General features: G+C 40.8%; 1 long non-coding RNA gene across 1 annotated transcript in view, besides 1 other annotated feature; it reads left to right on the top strand.

Annotated features, from left to right (window-relative positions):
- Positions 5,723-6,269: an enhancer, noted in NCBI's record as "H3K4me1 hESC enhancer chr3:117716097-117716643 (GRCh37/hg19 assembly coordinates)". NCBI's record gives its function as "activates a minimal SCP1, AML or CMV promoter by ChIP-STARR-seq in naive H9 embryonic stem cells {active_cell/tissue: H9 hESC(naive)}" and the evidence as "EXISTENCE:reporter gene assay evidence [ECO:0000049][PMID:30033119]".
- Positions 5,940-15,124, top strand: part of LINC03051 (long intergenic non-protein coding RNA 3051) — a 120,212-nt gene continuing 111,027 nt past the window's right edge. Inside the window, exon 1 of the long non-coding RNA NR_182298.1 lies at positions 5,940-6,337. This is a non-coding gene — a long non-coding RNA (long intergenic non-protein coding RNA 3051). The remainder of the gene's footprint in view (positions 6,338-15,124) is intronic.

Genomic DNA, 15,124 nt, shown 5'->3' with positions numbered 1-15,124 from the left:
GTCTTGTAAGTTTGGTTTGTTCTTAAACATCTTGGGCTGGAATCAACACAGGATGAGGGAGAAGAAATGGAGCTTCCAATCCATATTGCTCAATGCAGGATGTCAGGTCCTGCTGTAGTACTCTACTTACTGCTAAAAGTACATGATAAACAGAAAGAACAAGAGGGGAGAAACCAGAAGCATTTCTAACTCTATTTTGGTCTTATAATTCCTTGTTCTTAATAGTGTGTTTTGCTCTCCTGAGTCTTACATACAAAGGTGTCATCTAGATTTGGAATTTATAGCTTCTTCTTTTTTGTTATTTGCTTTTATAGCTTAGGCTTTACAAAATATAAGACTATGTCTATATAATGCCCCAAAAGATTTATTGGGTAACAAATTTACTTGGCCCTTTGCATCCTGATGGCAAAAGCAATTTCTTTAGACAGAATAGTTTATTTTCTTTTCAGTTGCAAATGGGAATATTTTAAGGCTAAAAATTTGTTTTGCTTCAACAGGGAATATTATAGCTCCTGATTTCTGACACCTGTAAACATTCCACCTCAGTAGAAGTCCTTCTTTGGCCACGGTTTAATGTGACTCAGATGACCCCAGGCTATATTAAAATTAACCAATCCTTACGCGTTTTAAATCCTAAAATTTTTCTTTAGGTTTAGGTAAATAGTTAAAAAATTATAACATCTAAGGGAGAGAAAGTGTTATTGTATGGAACAGAGTTGGTGGGAAATGTTGCCTTTAGTTGTATACTAAGTTACGGCACTATGTTAGGAATCAGAAAGGCTGAGTTCTATATTTTTTTTTGAGCTGTATGAATTTGGATACATTGTTTGAGTTTCAGAGGCTTTAGTCCTTCTTGCAAAACTGGGGTAGGGGAATGAGATTAGGGAAAGGCAGAGGATGGGTGGTGGTATTTGAGATAATCACGGACAAACCTTCATTGAGTGCTTAATGTATGTTAGGAAATTTATATATCTTATGTCAGTAGATTCTCTTGACCCTAGGGAAAGCACTAGAGCTCAGAAAAGTTATTTACCCAGGGCCACACCTTGGTGAGTGGAAAAGCCCACATCTGTCTGATGTTACAGCTAGATTTTTCTTCTACACCACAGTGCCTCATCTAAAGTCCTTTCAAGCACCGAAGTTCTTTCACTTGAAGCTCTACTGTTTGGTTTCTTGACACATCAAATTACAGCGTTTCCTTTTTTAGCTCTAAACTTCCAGGATAAAATAATTCAAAGGCAAGAAGATAAATTTCTACCTTCTGAAATTGTCTCCATTGCTATATTAATGAGACCATGCATGTGAAGTAGCTGTATAACCACAAAATATTATTATTATTAGATGAGCACAATTACTCTAGGCCTTTCAATCTGGAGTTGGACTTGTTTTATTTCAGAAACCCGCAAAAATCTGCATTCTTGTTTTTCATTTTCTGATTCCACATAAATTATGTAGCCATTTCCTAGATCTGTGAAAACTGCTCTGGCAGGCATTGGGACAGTCAAAAGAAACCCACAGGCCAGATTGCAAAGTCTATTATGGGAGATATTGTGCATATCACCTTCTCTTGCCTAAAGTCAAGTAGTCACAGTATAATATAGGCAGGAATGAATGACAGTTGTATACCACTACAGGATGATAGTTCTCTAGTTTAGAGAAGGGGAAAAAACAGCTCTAATGTAGGAAGGGCAAAAATAGGCAACCCATCTGTTAAAAAAATCATCTTTCCTTTTTCAGCTCAGTGTCTCAGTATAGTATCCTAAGGGGTCTCTGGACAAAAGGCACTTCTACAGACATAGATCTAATTGTACTTGCAATGCAAGGTTTTTTTCTTTCTTTCTTTTGGCTTCTGCTGCTACTCAGAAAAGGAGACTCCAAATGAAAGAGGGGGCGGGGTAGGAAAGAGACTTCTAGGAATTCCTGGACTCATCAGAACACAAATCATCCTATGGAATGCAAATGACTTAACAGTAATACAGGGAAGCTTCCCAAAGCGAATTACAATCCCATTACTGAGAATTAGCAATGGAAGTTGACAGGCTTTATAAACTTTGAGATTTTGTTGGAGTGGAAGGCAGCTGTAGGGAGGGGAAAAAAATGCCCTCAGGTAAAAAGCTAGAAAGGGTTTCTATTATTTATTTTACTTACGCTATGTAAGTATGTAACTATGTGAATTTGTGACCAAATTAGCTTTTTAGAACAATAGTGATGATGGAGAGTTACATAATTTCTACCTGTGTATACAAATATGTCCTGTCCGTATATACAGGTATGTCTTCCACCATGATATTAAGAAGGATGTCATCCACACGAATATATAATAAATTGAACGTCAAAGAATGTGGGCAAAGTTTTGCATTCAGAAATTTCCAACAAAACATACTAAACACACACGCGCACACACACACAAATCTTCAAGTTTAGATTTCCTGAACTCTGGCAAGGTATCAGACTGACCTGTAGCCCCATGCACATGCAAATTAAAGCCTCTGGGGATAGGGCCTGAATGTCTGCTATTTATGCAATTTCTACAAGTTCTTTACCCAACCAATTTGAGAACCACTTTCCTATGTTGTAAACAGTGTACCTGAACTAAAGTGAAGGGCGTGGGCAGAAATAACATGGGATACATTCATTCGCTGAAAAAAAATGAATATTTATGCAAACGGTCTCTAAGCATATATTACATCTAAGAAAACTTTGATATCTGGACAATTGATATATGAATGCATAAGCTCCCTCTGACCACACGCAAACAAGTAATTATTCTACTGCTAGCTATACTCGAGAAATGTCTGCCCATCTAGCACTCTGCTAGGCTCTGTGATTAATACATGATAATTGGCAGCGGTGTTTACAAATCAATTTGGAAAATCATGACAAAGACATAGAAATTAATTAGGATTGATTATTTAAAGTAATACAGAAACAAACAGAAAGATATTATAGCCAGTAAGTATATATTGCAGGAAAATATCTAATTTAGGCATCAAGAACAATTTTGAAAGAATTTTAAAGAATTGTTGGAAGTCATTCTAAGTATAATGTAGGGAGATCACAAAGTCTGATGCAACACATTTTGTGGCTCTGGCAAATCCAAATATAAACTACAAGATTTAGCAAGTCATGCGATTTCCTTGAAACTCAGTTTTCTTATCTTATAATGAGGTTTGGACTAGACAAGTTGTACTCCATGGGCGTGGCTGGGGTGGGGGGAAATTAGTTTCCCAGGCAACATATAGGATTTCTGGAGATATTTTTGTTTGTCATACTTTGAGGAGAGGGGTCTGCTAGTGGCATGTAGTGGGTAGAGGTCAAGGACACTGCTCAACATCTTGCAATAAAAAGGACAGCCCCATACAACAAAGAATTATCTGGGCCAAAATGTCAAGGGTGCTGAGGCTGAGAAACTGGACTACATGAGCAAACAATTTCTCACAACTCTTAACACTTTGTGGTTCTTATAGAATGATTTTTCAATCATTAGAGGGCAAAAGAATCACCTAGATATACTAGTAAAATGCAGATTCCTGGACTCCAACATCCAAATATATTAATAGACTAGGTTGTGTGTATGACTAAGTAATCTGGAATTTTAACATGTACACTGTGATTCTATTGCATCTGGGTTCTTAAATTGATTGTATTTTGAGAAACCTTACTAAGACATGCATTAACATTGAAGAAATCAAGGTTGATCCTTGAAAAACAATACCACTAGACATTATTTATTAAGTACTTCATGAGTTATACTCACAAAAGTCCTTTGAGACTTTTGCAAGGTCTCTCCATTTGTTAAAGGCATGGTAGGACTTGAATCCATCTAGTTCTAGATTCAAAGTCTATGCTCTGGCCACTTGCAAATTGCCTCCTGAGAATGGAACAGACTTGGCAAGACAAACAAGCAGCAGATAAAGGAAGTGCATGGGGAAAAAAGAAGACTGAGCAATCTAGAAGAAAGTGTCTCCATTGGGGATTGAAAAAAAAATAAATTGTTAAAGGTAAGATAAGAAATTTCAGAAGACCTTACATTTTAAAAATGAAGAATCTGAATTCTGTCTGGTAGGTTAGTGTTTTTCAGCCCTGGTTGCAGATTAGGATGGCCTGAGATCTTTAAAATACTCCGGATGCTAGGGCTGCAACCCAAAAATTGTGATCTAATTGGTTTGGGGTGGGATGATGCGTCAGCAAAAGTCCTCAGGTGATTCTAGTATGGTTCTAGAAGACCATAAGGAGCAGCTATAACTCATAAGCAGGTGAGAGTCTTGAAGAAACTGTTAACAAGATTAACCTGGTGGTAACGTATAAACTAGATTAGAGCAGTGAATGGAGGAAAGGGATCAGGTAGAAGGCTATTGTAGAAATCTAGGGGTGTGGCAATAAAGACCCATACTAGAGAGATGGATCAGGAATGCTGCTAGAGTCAGGAGACCTCCTTCAGGTCTGCTAATGTTGCTTTCACTGGCCTATCGTATGTCATAAGAAAAGTCACTTAACTTGTCTTTGTCTGCATTTCCCACTAATGCTCGAAGAGCTAACATAGCCCTTGAACATATCACAGCATTAGAGATAATTAAAAGTATTTCAGAAAGTATAATGCACAACACGTGTTTATTATGAAAAAGGTGGCAGTAAAACTGAAAAAAAAACATAGAGACATCTTAGACACATTTACACATTGTCGTGGTGAGACTGATGATCAACTGAAATTGGAGAAGAGAGAATTAAATATACTTCTAAAAGTTCTTGAAGCCTGTGAAACAGGGAAGTTGGAAAAGGGGAATAATTCCTGAAGAAAATCACGTGGGTATAGATAAGAAGTTCTCAACTGGGTCAGTTTTTCCCTCCAGGGGGCATTTGGCAATGCCTGGAGATGTTTTTGGTTGTCATAACTAGGAGGATGAGGGTTGTGCTACTGTCAGCTGGTGGACAGAAGCTAGGGATGTTGCTATAAATCCTATAGTGCACAAGACAGCCCCACACAGTAAAGAATTATCTGGTACAGTATGTCAGTAGTGCCAAGGTGGAGAAACCTAGCATAGATATTACAAACAGTTGGAAGGGACCAATATTCATTATCATGTAAATACATGGATGAATAAAATGAAATTCAGAGATTGAATGACTTAGTTAAGGTCCCCAACGAGTGGAGGCCACAGTAACAGAACTGAAATCCAGCTTTCCTAACTACTAGTCAGTGCTCTTCAGAGCGGCCCCATCTGCCTACTCACCCAACTCAGCCCTGGCCCTGAGTCATCCAGTTTGAGATGCTTGGTACCCAGCTGGGAAGTCTAAGCTGAGGGCTAAGCACGAGGTTAGTGGTGGAGGTTTCCATCCTCGTGTAGCTGTAATAGACCTTTTATTTCCAAGTAACTTAAAGAAATTATAACAGAAGATATAAACCAAGAAGTGCAGAGGAACCCAGAGGGCTCTTGGAGGGAAGGTCAGAAGTGCCAGAATTGTTTTGACCCAGTGACTTTGAAATCAAATAAAAAGGAATGGCACACGCTGTGAAGCGCAGCATCAAAATCAAGTAGGATGAGGCTTCAAAAGGCCATTGGACTTTTTGGTGGAGGTCATGGTGACATTTGGAGAAAAATTTCCATAGAGTTGTTAGGAAAGCACTGGAGATTTCTGAGAGGGAGAGGAGCAATGAGGTGATGAAGATGTGCGGCTAGCATGTTCCAAGAGCTTCCTCGTGAAAAGGAGAAATTCAGGACTTATGGGACAGCAAGGTCAAGTCAAGGATTTAAGAAGGCAAGAGCTTCACCTGTGTTTGCTGAGAGCAGAGGGGACTTTGGCGGCGTTGGATAGACTTGGCACAGACACACAGCGAAGAAGAGCCGCGGCGATGCCGTTCTGTGAGCACTAGATGGCAGTAGCGGGGCCCTTTCGGCTCGGTTCGCGGTCCTATAAGGCGCTGCTTGTTTAAGTACATCGCATTTAGTTGAAGCTGCAGGGGAGTGAGGGAGAGGAGGATAGGAAGCAGGAAAGCGGGAGAGCTCGAGGGACAAGGGGGCTCGGTGTGTTTACACCAGGCACGGGCTACGAGCGTCCATCCCGGCCCCTGGCTTGCGCTCCCGAAGAGGAGAGCAAGGCTGTTCTGGGATCCGGCCGTCGTGCGGCAAGAGGCTTGTCTGTCCGGGTTGCCGGAACCAGGAGAACCCAGAGGGAAACCGAGGGAAAGGAGCGGCGCGTTTTACTAGAGAGAGCGCGAGCGGAAGAGGCGAGAGCAGGAGCGCGCGAGGGAGCATCGAGCGCAGCGGAGACATGAGGACCTACTGGCTGCACAGCGTCTGGGTGCTGGGCTTTTTCCTGTCCCTCTTCTCATTGCAAGGTAGGGGGAGGATTCCCTGACCCCTTGCGCCCCCTCCTCCCTGCCGCCGGGCTCCGGGGTGGTCGGTGGAGTAAGAAGCGCTCCGGTTCTGGATGGAACAGGGTTTATTTACAAGTCCTGCGGTGCGCTCCCTGCCCTGCCAGCTCTGCGCCCAGGCTGGGTCCTGAGGCGTGCGGGATTGTGCGGACAGACTTGCTGCAACATCGGTGTTGATGGGGAAAGAAGCCAGGGCTTGTGTGTGTGTGTGTGTGTGTGTGTGTGTGTGTGTGTGTGTGCGCGCGCGCGTGTGAACGGGGGGCAGGATAGAGCGGCGTGTTTTGTGTGTGTGTGTGTGTGTGTGTGTGTGTGTGTGTGTGTGTCTTGGTGGGGTGGGGGCTTTTGCGCGAGGTGGTGGCGACGGAGCTGGGGTTGCTCCTCTGTAAACTCCAAGAGCCGCGGTGGTGTTCGCTATCCCCGTGTCCCCGGTGCTGATATCACTGCATTCCTCCTCTTTCAGGAGGGAATTGGCATTAAGTTTAGGAGGCTAGGTATCCGCTTGGCACCTGGTACTTGTATCTCTCTGCAAAATAGCCCCACCAGATTCTTCTGCCCCGAGATGGAGGAGGGATGCGGGAGGGAAGGGAACGGTGAGTGGGGTGGGGGGAGGGGGACACGGGGAGGGGGGGAGGAGGAGAAGAGGGAGGGAGGAAGAGAGTGGGGTGGGGGAGAGAGAGAGAGAGAGAGAGAGAATGAATACGAGAATTCACGGGTAATCGCTGCGCTGGCTCATAATGGTCAATGTATTTCATGCTTGCAGGACAAAATTGCTAGCGCTGGGTGTTTACTTTGAAGGGATTGTAGGTTTCTATGTTTTGGGGAGGTTGTAAAATAAATTCATGAAGGTTAAAAATGAAAATACATACATGGTGTTTGCATTTCACTTACAAGCTGGCATCCAGAGCCCTCACTGATGTTAAACATACCTATAATACACGAAGTAATTCCAACATAAAAATATATTATCTTTTTAATCTTCCTGTCTCACTCTTCCTGCTCGTGAGAGGAACCTTGCACAATTAGCCATAGAGAGTCTGTGCTATATTGCTCTACCACTGACGGTTCTACTACATCTTCATGTTTGGGCATTCTGCCATCATTAGGACATTTACCCACGCACATCTCTCATGCTACAGAACACACTCCATTTACACACAGTGTACACATGCACACACAAAGACACATACGCACACACACTGCCTCTCAAGAACACTTGGCATGAAATGACCAGACTGGCAATCCTACTCCTGATTTTTTTCTGACAGCTGGTTGCTAATGTTACATTGGTGGGTTTCATTTTTCATTGCTGGGGGATATTTTGTGTAGCTATAAAGCCCTCTTGCTAAATGAAAAGAGAATAGACTCCCTGGCTGTTTACTGTTGAAGCATTGCAAGGGAATGAATACTATGTCGAAGTTATAGTTTAAAATATGCTTAGGGGAACAGCTGGAACTCACCCATAATACAATTACAAGTTACAGGTTCTAAAAACTTTCTCATCTCAGAACTCACTGACCCATTCCTCTCCTATCTAATTTGTGAGCTCTTGCAATACATGATTCTTCTACTAAGCATGTCTAAATGAAAAATAGAGTCCCAATCTTGCTTTGGCTTTTTACATTTTATTTCTTTACATTTTTTCCTTCAAAGCTCACAGGACTTTCTCTGTGATTTCAGATATTGCTGCAATTCAGCTTTTTCATATTGAGACATTAGCATCGTGACTGTACTATGCCAGCAGCAGAGGTTAATCCCTTTCCTTCCTATTCCATTTAACTCTAGGAATTTAGCTCTTCTGATAAAATGCTAAGAATGATGTCATGAATACATGCTCCTCTTAAGTTTGAGTAAAACTATGGGATATTCATTACTCAGCCATGGGGTCTTATGAGTGAAAGGTACTTCTAAAGGATGAGGAAGGTGTAATGGAACACGAAACCAGATAATTATATTTCAGGAGATCTTCTATTAAAAAAAAAAGCCCCCCAGTCTTTTTCAGTGATAACATAGTAAACTATAGTAACAATTCTCTGAATTTTCTGGTCTCATTTGGGCAAAGCAAATAGCTTTTCCTCCCCGGGAATATTGTTCTTTCTAAAGAGGAGTTTTCAAGATTTTGCTAAATAGAGTTTAGCACATTGTGGGAAGTGGCCTCAGTTCTCAAGCTTTGGGATCCCCCAGTGTGTGGCACACACTAGGCAGCAGTAACGTTGAGTAATGGGATAGGAGAAGAAGGCAGTGCAGCTGGATGAGGCTAAGAAACATGGAGATCACTCGCAAACAACTGCCATACACATTATCTCCTGCCATCATCATGGCAGGGCTTGAACTGTTTCCTGACAACATGCTCTCCTCTCTCTTACACATATGTACATGTGGACACACACGTACACACTCCTCAGTGTCAAAGTATGTGGCCCTTTTGAATTGGCCCCATCCCTTGTTTACTATCTCCATTCTTCAGCACAGTTGCTTCTGCTGTTTCTTACCATTATGTTCATGGATTCACAGATTAATGCTGTTCTTGGTGTTCATTGTTAATTAGAATACATTTGTTCAAGAATGTTTAATGTAAGTACTTGAGGCTATGTGGTTCTGAGGTGGAGGGATATTTACAGAATGATTTGGGCTTGCCCCATGAGAAAAAGACTATTTAGTCTAAGTCATTATTTTGTGACCATGGGCAAGTCGGGCATATATTCTTGAGGTTCAGTAATAATTATGTTCTGTTTTTCATGAATGATATAATAATCATTATCATTATTTTGAAATAGATCATAAAAGATAGCTTAGTCAAGATGTGTTCACATGTGAATAAAAACTATAGTTTTTTCTCTGTTGTTCTTTTTCCAAATATCCTAGAGTACTTTGATATAGTTGAGTATATTCATCTATGCAATGTCCTTGTGATGTTGGTAGGGAGAACTTCTAACCTTTTGTGCAATGACGAGAAGGTTATATAATGGCCCAGCCAGGTTTCATCCTTGATATCCTGGCAACTGTAGTTTATATTAATGACATCTCCATTGATAAAGGGTCTCTGAGGTTTCCAGAAGAAAGTTTTTTAGATATTCATGAGTGTACTAATATCATCAATTTACCTGTAACTTTGATTAAGCAAAGAAAGCAAACCCATACACACACACAAACAAACAAAAAAAACCACTTTTCTCAGGACTTTCCATTTGTTCCCAGCTTAGTTTGAGGTCCTGCTTCATTGGCTTAGATCTGGCCAGGTCTGTTTGTCATCTGGCATCTGTCTCTTCTTTCTCATGCTCCAGATCCAGAGCCAGAGAGCAGCCACTGCTTTGCTCTGAGGTTGGCTCTATTTTCTCCCTTTGGCATATGGGATGGCAGTAGCCCTGTGCCCTTTTGGTACTGCAGAAGAGATGGATTCCACTTGGCCCATCCCACCCCCATCTCTGGTTCACCTGGGCATGAAGGTTTCCTTGGCTTCTGCCTGCAGCCATATTTGGGCTGCTTCCAGGAGAAGAGAAGAATGTAGTGACACTGCAGCAGAGGCAGCTTAGCCGACAAACCCCCAACCCCAACACCAGAAGAGCAGGGAGTGCTGCTGCTGATTAGTGAGGGAGCAGCAGAAATGCCTAGGATGGGAATGTTCTGTCCAACTACTATGAGGCTTCCATTAAGAGCTCTGTCTAAACTGCTCACAGCGGCACTCCCCAGCCTCCTCCCAATAGTTCCAATGAAAACGAGTTGGTGAAATCTCTTTAGAGGTTTTTGACAAGTGCCTCTGCCAAAGAATAAAAATGATACCCTTCAGGAAATATATTTTAGAGTCCAAGATGTATATTGTTTTAATATTAAGTACAATAGCAACTAATTAAAAGATTTTTTCAAGAGGCACTGTCTCTGTCACCCAGGCTGGAGTTCAGTGGCATGATAATAGCTCACTGTAACCTCAAGCTCCCTAGCTCAAAGGATCCTGCCACCTCAGCTTCCCAAGTAGCTTAGACTACAGGCACACACCACCATTCCCAGCTAATGTTGTTTTTTATTTTTCTTTTTTGTAGAAATGGGATCTTACTATGTTGCCCAGGCTGATCTTGAATTCATGACCTCAGTGACGCTCTGGCCTTGGCCTCTCAAAGCACTGTTATTACAGGTGTAAGCCACCGTGCCTGACCTATTTCTAATTTGACTTACCCAAGTAATTTTAAAAGATTTAAAGCACCATCCATAAGGTATAGTTTTCTGCTAGGTAGGATTTTTGATGTTATCTCCTTTGTTTCCAGCAACATTGGTAACCTAGAACTGAGTCAATGATGAGCATTGACTACACTATGAAGCCTCTCTGTTTAAGATACAGGAGAAACTTAGCTCCTTTAAAAAAAAAAAAAAAAAAAAAGGTGTGGTGGCTCATGCCTGTAATCCCAGCACTTTGGGAGGGAGGCTGAGACTGGCAGATCACGAGGTCCGGAGTTCAAGACCAGCCTGGTCAATATGGTGAAACTCCATCTCTACTAAAAACACATAAATTAGCTGGGTGTGGTGGCAGGCACCTGTAATCCCAGTTACTCAGGAAGCTCAGGCAGGAGAACCGCTTGAAACCAGAAGGTGGAGCTTGCAGTAAGCTGAGATCATGCCACTACACTCCAGCCTGGGCAACAAGAGTGAAACTCCATCTCAAAAAAAAAAAAAAAATTGCATTCCAAATAAGTGTTTGACCCTACTTACTTAAAAATAATACTAGGCCAGACATGGTGGCTCATGCCTGTAATCCCAGCACTTTGGGAAACAAATGCAGAAGGATTACTTGAGCCCAGGAGTTCAAGATGAGCGTTGGCAACATGGAAAGACCCTGTTTCTACAAAACAGAAAAAAATTAGCCTGGCATGGTGGTGTGCACCTGTAGTCTTAGCTATTTGGGAGGCTGAGGTTGGGGGGATTACATGAGCCTAGGAAATTGAGGCTGCAATGAACTGTTACTGCATCATTGCACTCTAGCCTGCAAGACAAGAGTGAGATCCTTTCTCAAAATAATAACAATAATAATAGTAACATTAACATTCTGAAAAATATAGACTTTACCCTTTATCGAGTGTAGTCTTCTAGATTTTATGGGTAGTGGAACAGACCTTGTAACAAGCCTTCAGTGATGATTATTACTTATAACAAAAACCCCCAGCTCAAATTACCATGACTGCAGAAAACAATATATGATATATTTTTGTGGAAGTTATTTAGTATGGTTTATTAATCTAGAAAAGCACAGTACAGCCTGGAAGTAAATAAATTGATGAGAAGTGTTTGGATTTCTTTTCTTATTTCATTTGATAACCCTCAACATCAGAAGTCTATGACTCCTTTTACACAATTCGGGTCAGATACTGAAGCCACAGCATCTTCTAGCACATAACAATATTTCTAACATGAAGATCTTTTTAAATCATAGTTGCTTACATAGTACATTTTTGTCACTGTATACCTCTCTACCCTGCTTGGCATATTTGAAATGAGGAATACAGAAACATTTTTCTTAAGTGAATCTTCATTGTGTACCATTACCTCTCCACCACTCATGATTTTCTTGTATTCTCTATCTTCTTTACTTAAAAGCGTCTATGCTGCCAACATAAGCAGTGCTCGTCTGGACACTTAGTAGGTAAGATCCTCATGTGGAAGGAACACTGAGGTACACATTAGACAACTTAGATACTGGTCTTAAATTCACTAATAATTCCTGATAAAACATAGATAATACTCTCACGGGAGTCTCAGTTTCCTCATTTACTGGATTGGGATAGTAGTGCCTGTCACATGTGATTATGCATACTTTAAAATTTATAAAGCTTTAAGAAAATGAAATATTTGCTTCTGCCAGATAAAATAAAGAGTTAAATTAAAAGGGATTATCTGGCTGCTTGCCACTAACTGAACAGAATTTACCAGTGTTCATAGCTGTCTCTTTCTCCCTTCCTCCATCCTTTCTTTCTTTCTCTGGACTTGGGTAAGAGGCATATTGAGCTCCCAGTGCTAATTTCATGCTGAAGGGAGATACCAGTATTGATACAGGGTTACATAAACTACCTCTGCCTTCTTGTTTTGCTCAAAGGGATAAAGCCAAACACAAAACAAAACAAAACAAAGTGAAACATGTCTACCTTTAATTCTGTGCTAACACCCTTTATTTGTTTTCCTTTTTTCATAAGAGTATTAAGCCTCACTTAATATTTTAGCTTGCATTATTGAGGAATAGCTGAAGGAAGGAAGAAATGTTAGGGGAACTAGATTCCAATTAACTTTGCCACTGTGGCTGTGTAACTCTGTGTGAATCACTGTTGTTTAGTAAATGAGAGTGAGAATCTCCAAGATTAATGAATCTCGCTAAGGGTGTCAGCAGACCAGAACTCTGCTGCTCAAATAACCTTCATACCTTGTCTTCTGTGTTTCTTCTTTCTTATTTTAGTGTGAAAAAAGTCAGAAACAAATAGAAAGTTATGCAAGGAAATATGCTGGCATTATTGACATGTATAATGAGTATTTGCCTTCCATTGACTATCAATTATATCAAGGACTTCTCTTGAACCATTTATAGGGCCTTATTTCAAGTGTAGAATTGGTCACATTTAAGCCAACAATACAATTTAGTTTTTAAATTGAATGAATGCCAAGTGTTTGATGAGGAAACAAGAATTTATATGGATGTCTTCCCTGATTCAGGGACCTGCCCTCTTTTCTCTATTTCAGAAGGCACTTGTGTACTCCCAAGAGTGGGTGGGAAGGGAAGTTTATTTTTCCACCTCCTGTGATATCTCCTTCCTCCAACCTGGCAGCCCTAGAAGGTATATCCTACTCCCAAGAGGAGATATTTGTGATTCTATCTCCTAAGGAGAGAACAGCAAACAGCTAGGAAAAAACCCAGATTAGCTGCCTCTGACAAATTATCAAGGGCATTCTGGCTGGGTCAGTTGAGTCCAGACAGCCCACACAACCAGGCCAGCTTTCCACTGGGGATCCTCTGTCTACATGGGAATGGAAAGAAACTGCCTGGTGATTTCTGCCTCAAGTAACAGAGATAAGACAATTCTACTGACCTGATACAAACCTGTGCTGGCATAACAGATGCAGGCTTGAAACTGCTCCTAGTAACAACTATGGTTTTGTTACTGAAATTTTAATTTCCTATCTTTCCCGTTAGGCAATAATGTGGTTTGTGATGAGGAGGAAGGTGAACGAACAGTGGGCATTCTGTGGGTTTAAAGTTATTTTTGTTGGTATGATGTGTGTAGTGTGATGAATGGGTAGTTATTTCAGCTAGCTGGGGTATATACAAGGCACAGAATATAGGAAAGTGGGGGATATGCAAGAAAAACAACTAATAGACTTCTGTTTATTTTTTTTTTCCTTCTTCCTTCCATAAATATTTGTTAAGCCTTAAGCAAACACATTCATAAACCTTATAGCAAGGGAGACAGACACATAAAAGATAATAAATTAATTGCCACTGTGATAATACCTAAAGAAGGAGAGTTTAGGGTACTATGAAATTATATTTTAGGGAGACTCAGTTTAGTCTGGGGAGTTAAGAAAGTCTTTGCTTAAGGAATTAACATGTAATTGGAGTTTAAATTATGAGTAGGAGTTAGCTATGTGCAGACGCAGGTGGAGAGAGCTTTAACAGCAATGAGAAGTCTTGCCAAGGCTTTAAGGTATGAAAGAGACCAACATAACCCAGGAACTGAAGGAATAGAAGGAGTGCAAGGACCAAAGAGGAAAGTGACAGAAGGTAAGTCTGGAGGAATTAAGTAAGCCCAACACTGCAGGGCCTTTAGGGACATTGCAAGAATATGGGATTTAGTCCAAAGGGGAAATTGAGGGAAAGCACTGATGAGTTTTAAAGCAGGAAGGTGCCACTTGAAGTAGGAGCTTTTAGAAGAGGACTCTGGCTGCCGTGTGAGAAAAGGATGAGTAACTGGGAAGAAGCTGATTTAGAGGCTTTCACTATGTAACAAGAAAGAAAATGGTGGTGTAGACTAAGATTGTGACATTGGAGATGAGGTGAATACACAGAAGAGAGATTCAGGGATGGAATCAACAGGGCTTAGTTCACAGAGGATCTCTTGTATGTAGGTGTGTAAACAACCATTGCAGGTTAGGCACGGGATACAAACTTTACAGTTTAAAGTGGCTGTGCATAGATTTGCCTATCACCTATTACCTACCTATTATCAACAACTCTGTGAGGTCATATTCTATAATTTCCACTCTTTAGCTGAGGAAAGAGGCTTAATGCAAGTAAAAACCGGGCTTGGTTTTGAACCCTGGGCCTCTGTCTCCAAATGCAGTTTCTTTTCCTTATATCATGCTGCCAACCCTAAGCAATAGTATAAAAGAGAACGACTTACAGAATTAAAAGAAAAGTCATGTTTGACTAACCACCTATGTGGCCTTGGGCAAGTTACTCTCTGATTCTGGAAATAATCTCTAAGGTGTCTTTGAGCTCAAAAAATTAGAACGAGTCTATGATTTTATTCCGATTGGGGAGAAGTCTAGTCTTAATTAGCAAAATGGCTCAATTAAATACTATTTTTAAAGAAGTACCATTTTATTACATTCAAATACATACAAAAAGACTAATTCCCAACAAAATCTTTTCAAGGAGAAGATCTTGCTGACCTAATTTTATAGCCAGATTTAAAAGAGCCAAACTTAAAAAAAACTTGGTAGCAGCACCATTTATTTATAATTAAGTCACTAAAATCATATAATCAGCTCTTTCTTGGTACA

This window comes from Homo sapiens, chromosome 3 (assembly GCF_000001405.40).
Source record: "Homo sapiens chromosome 3, GRCh38.p14 Primary Assembly".
NCBI classification, from domain to species: Eukaryota; Metazoa; Chordata; class Mammalia; order Primates; family Hominidae; genus Homo; species Homo sapiens.
This window is presented reverse-complemented; position numbering and strand designations above follow the sequence as displayed.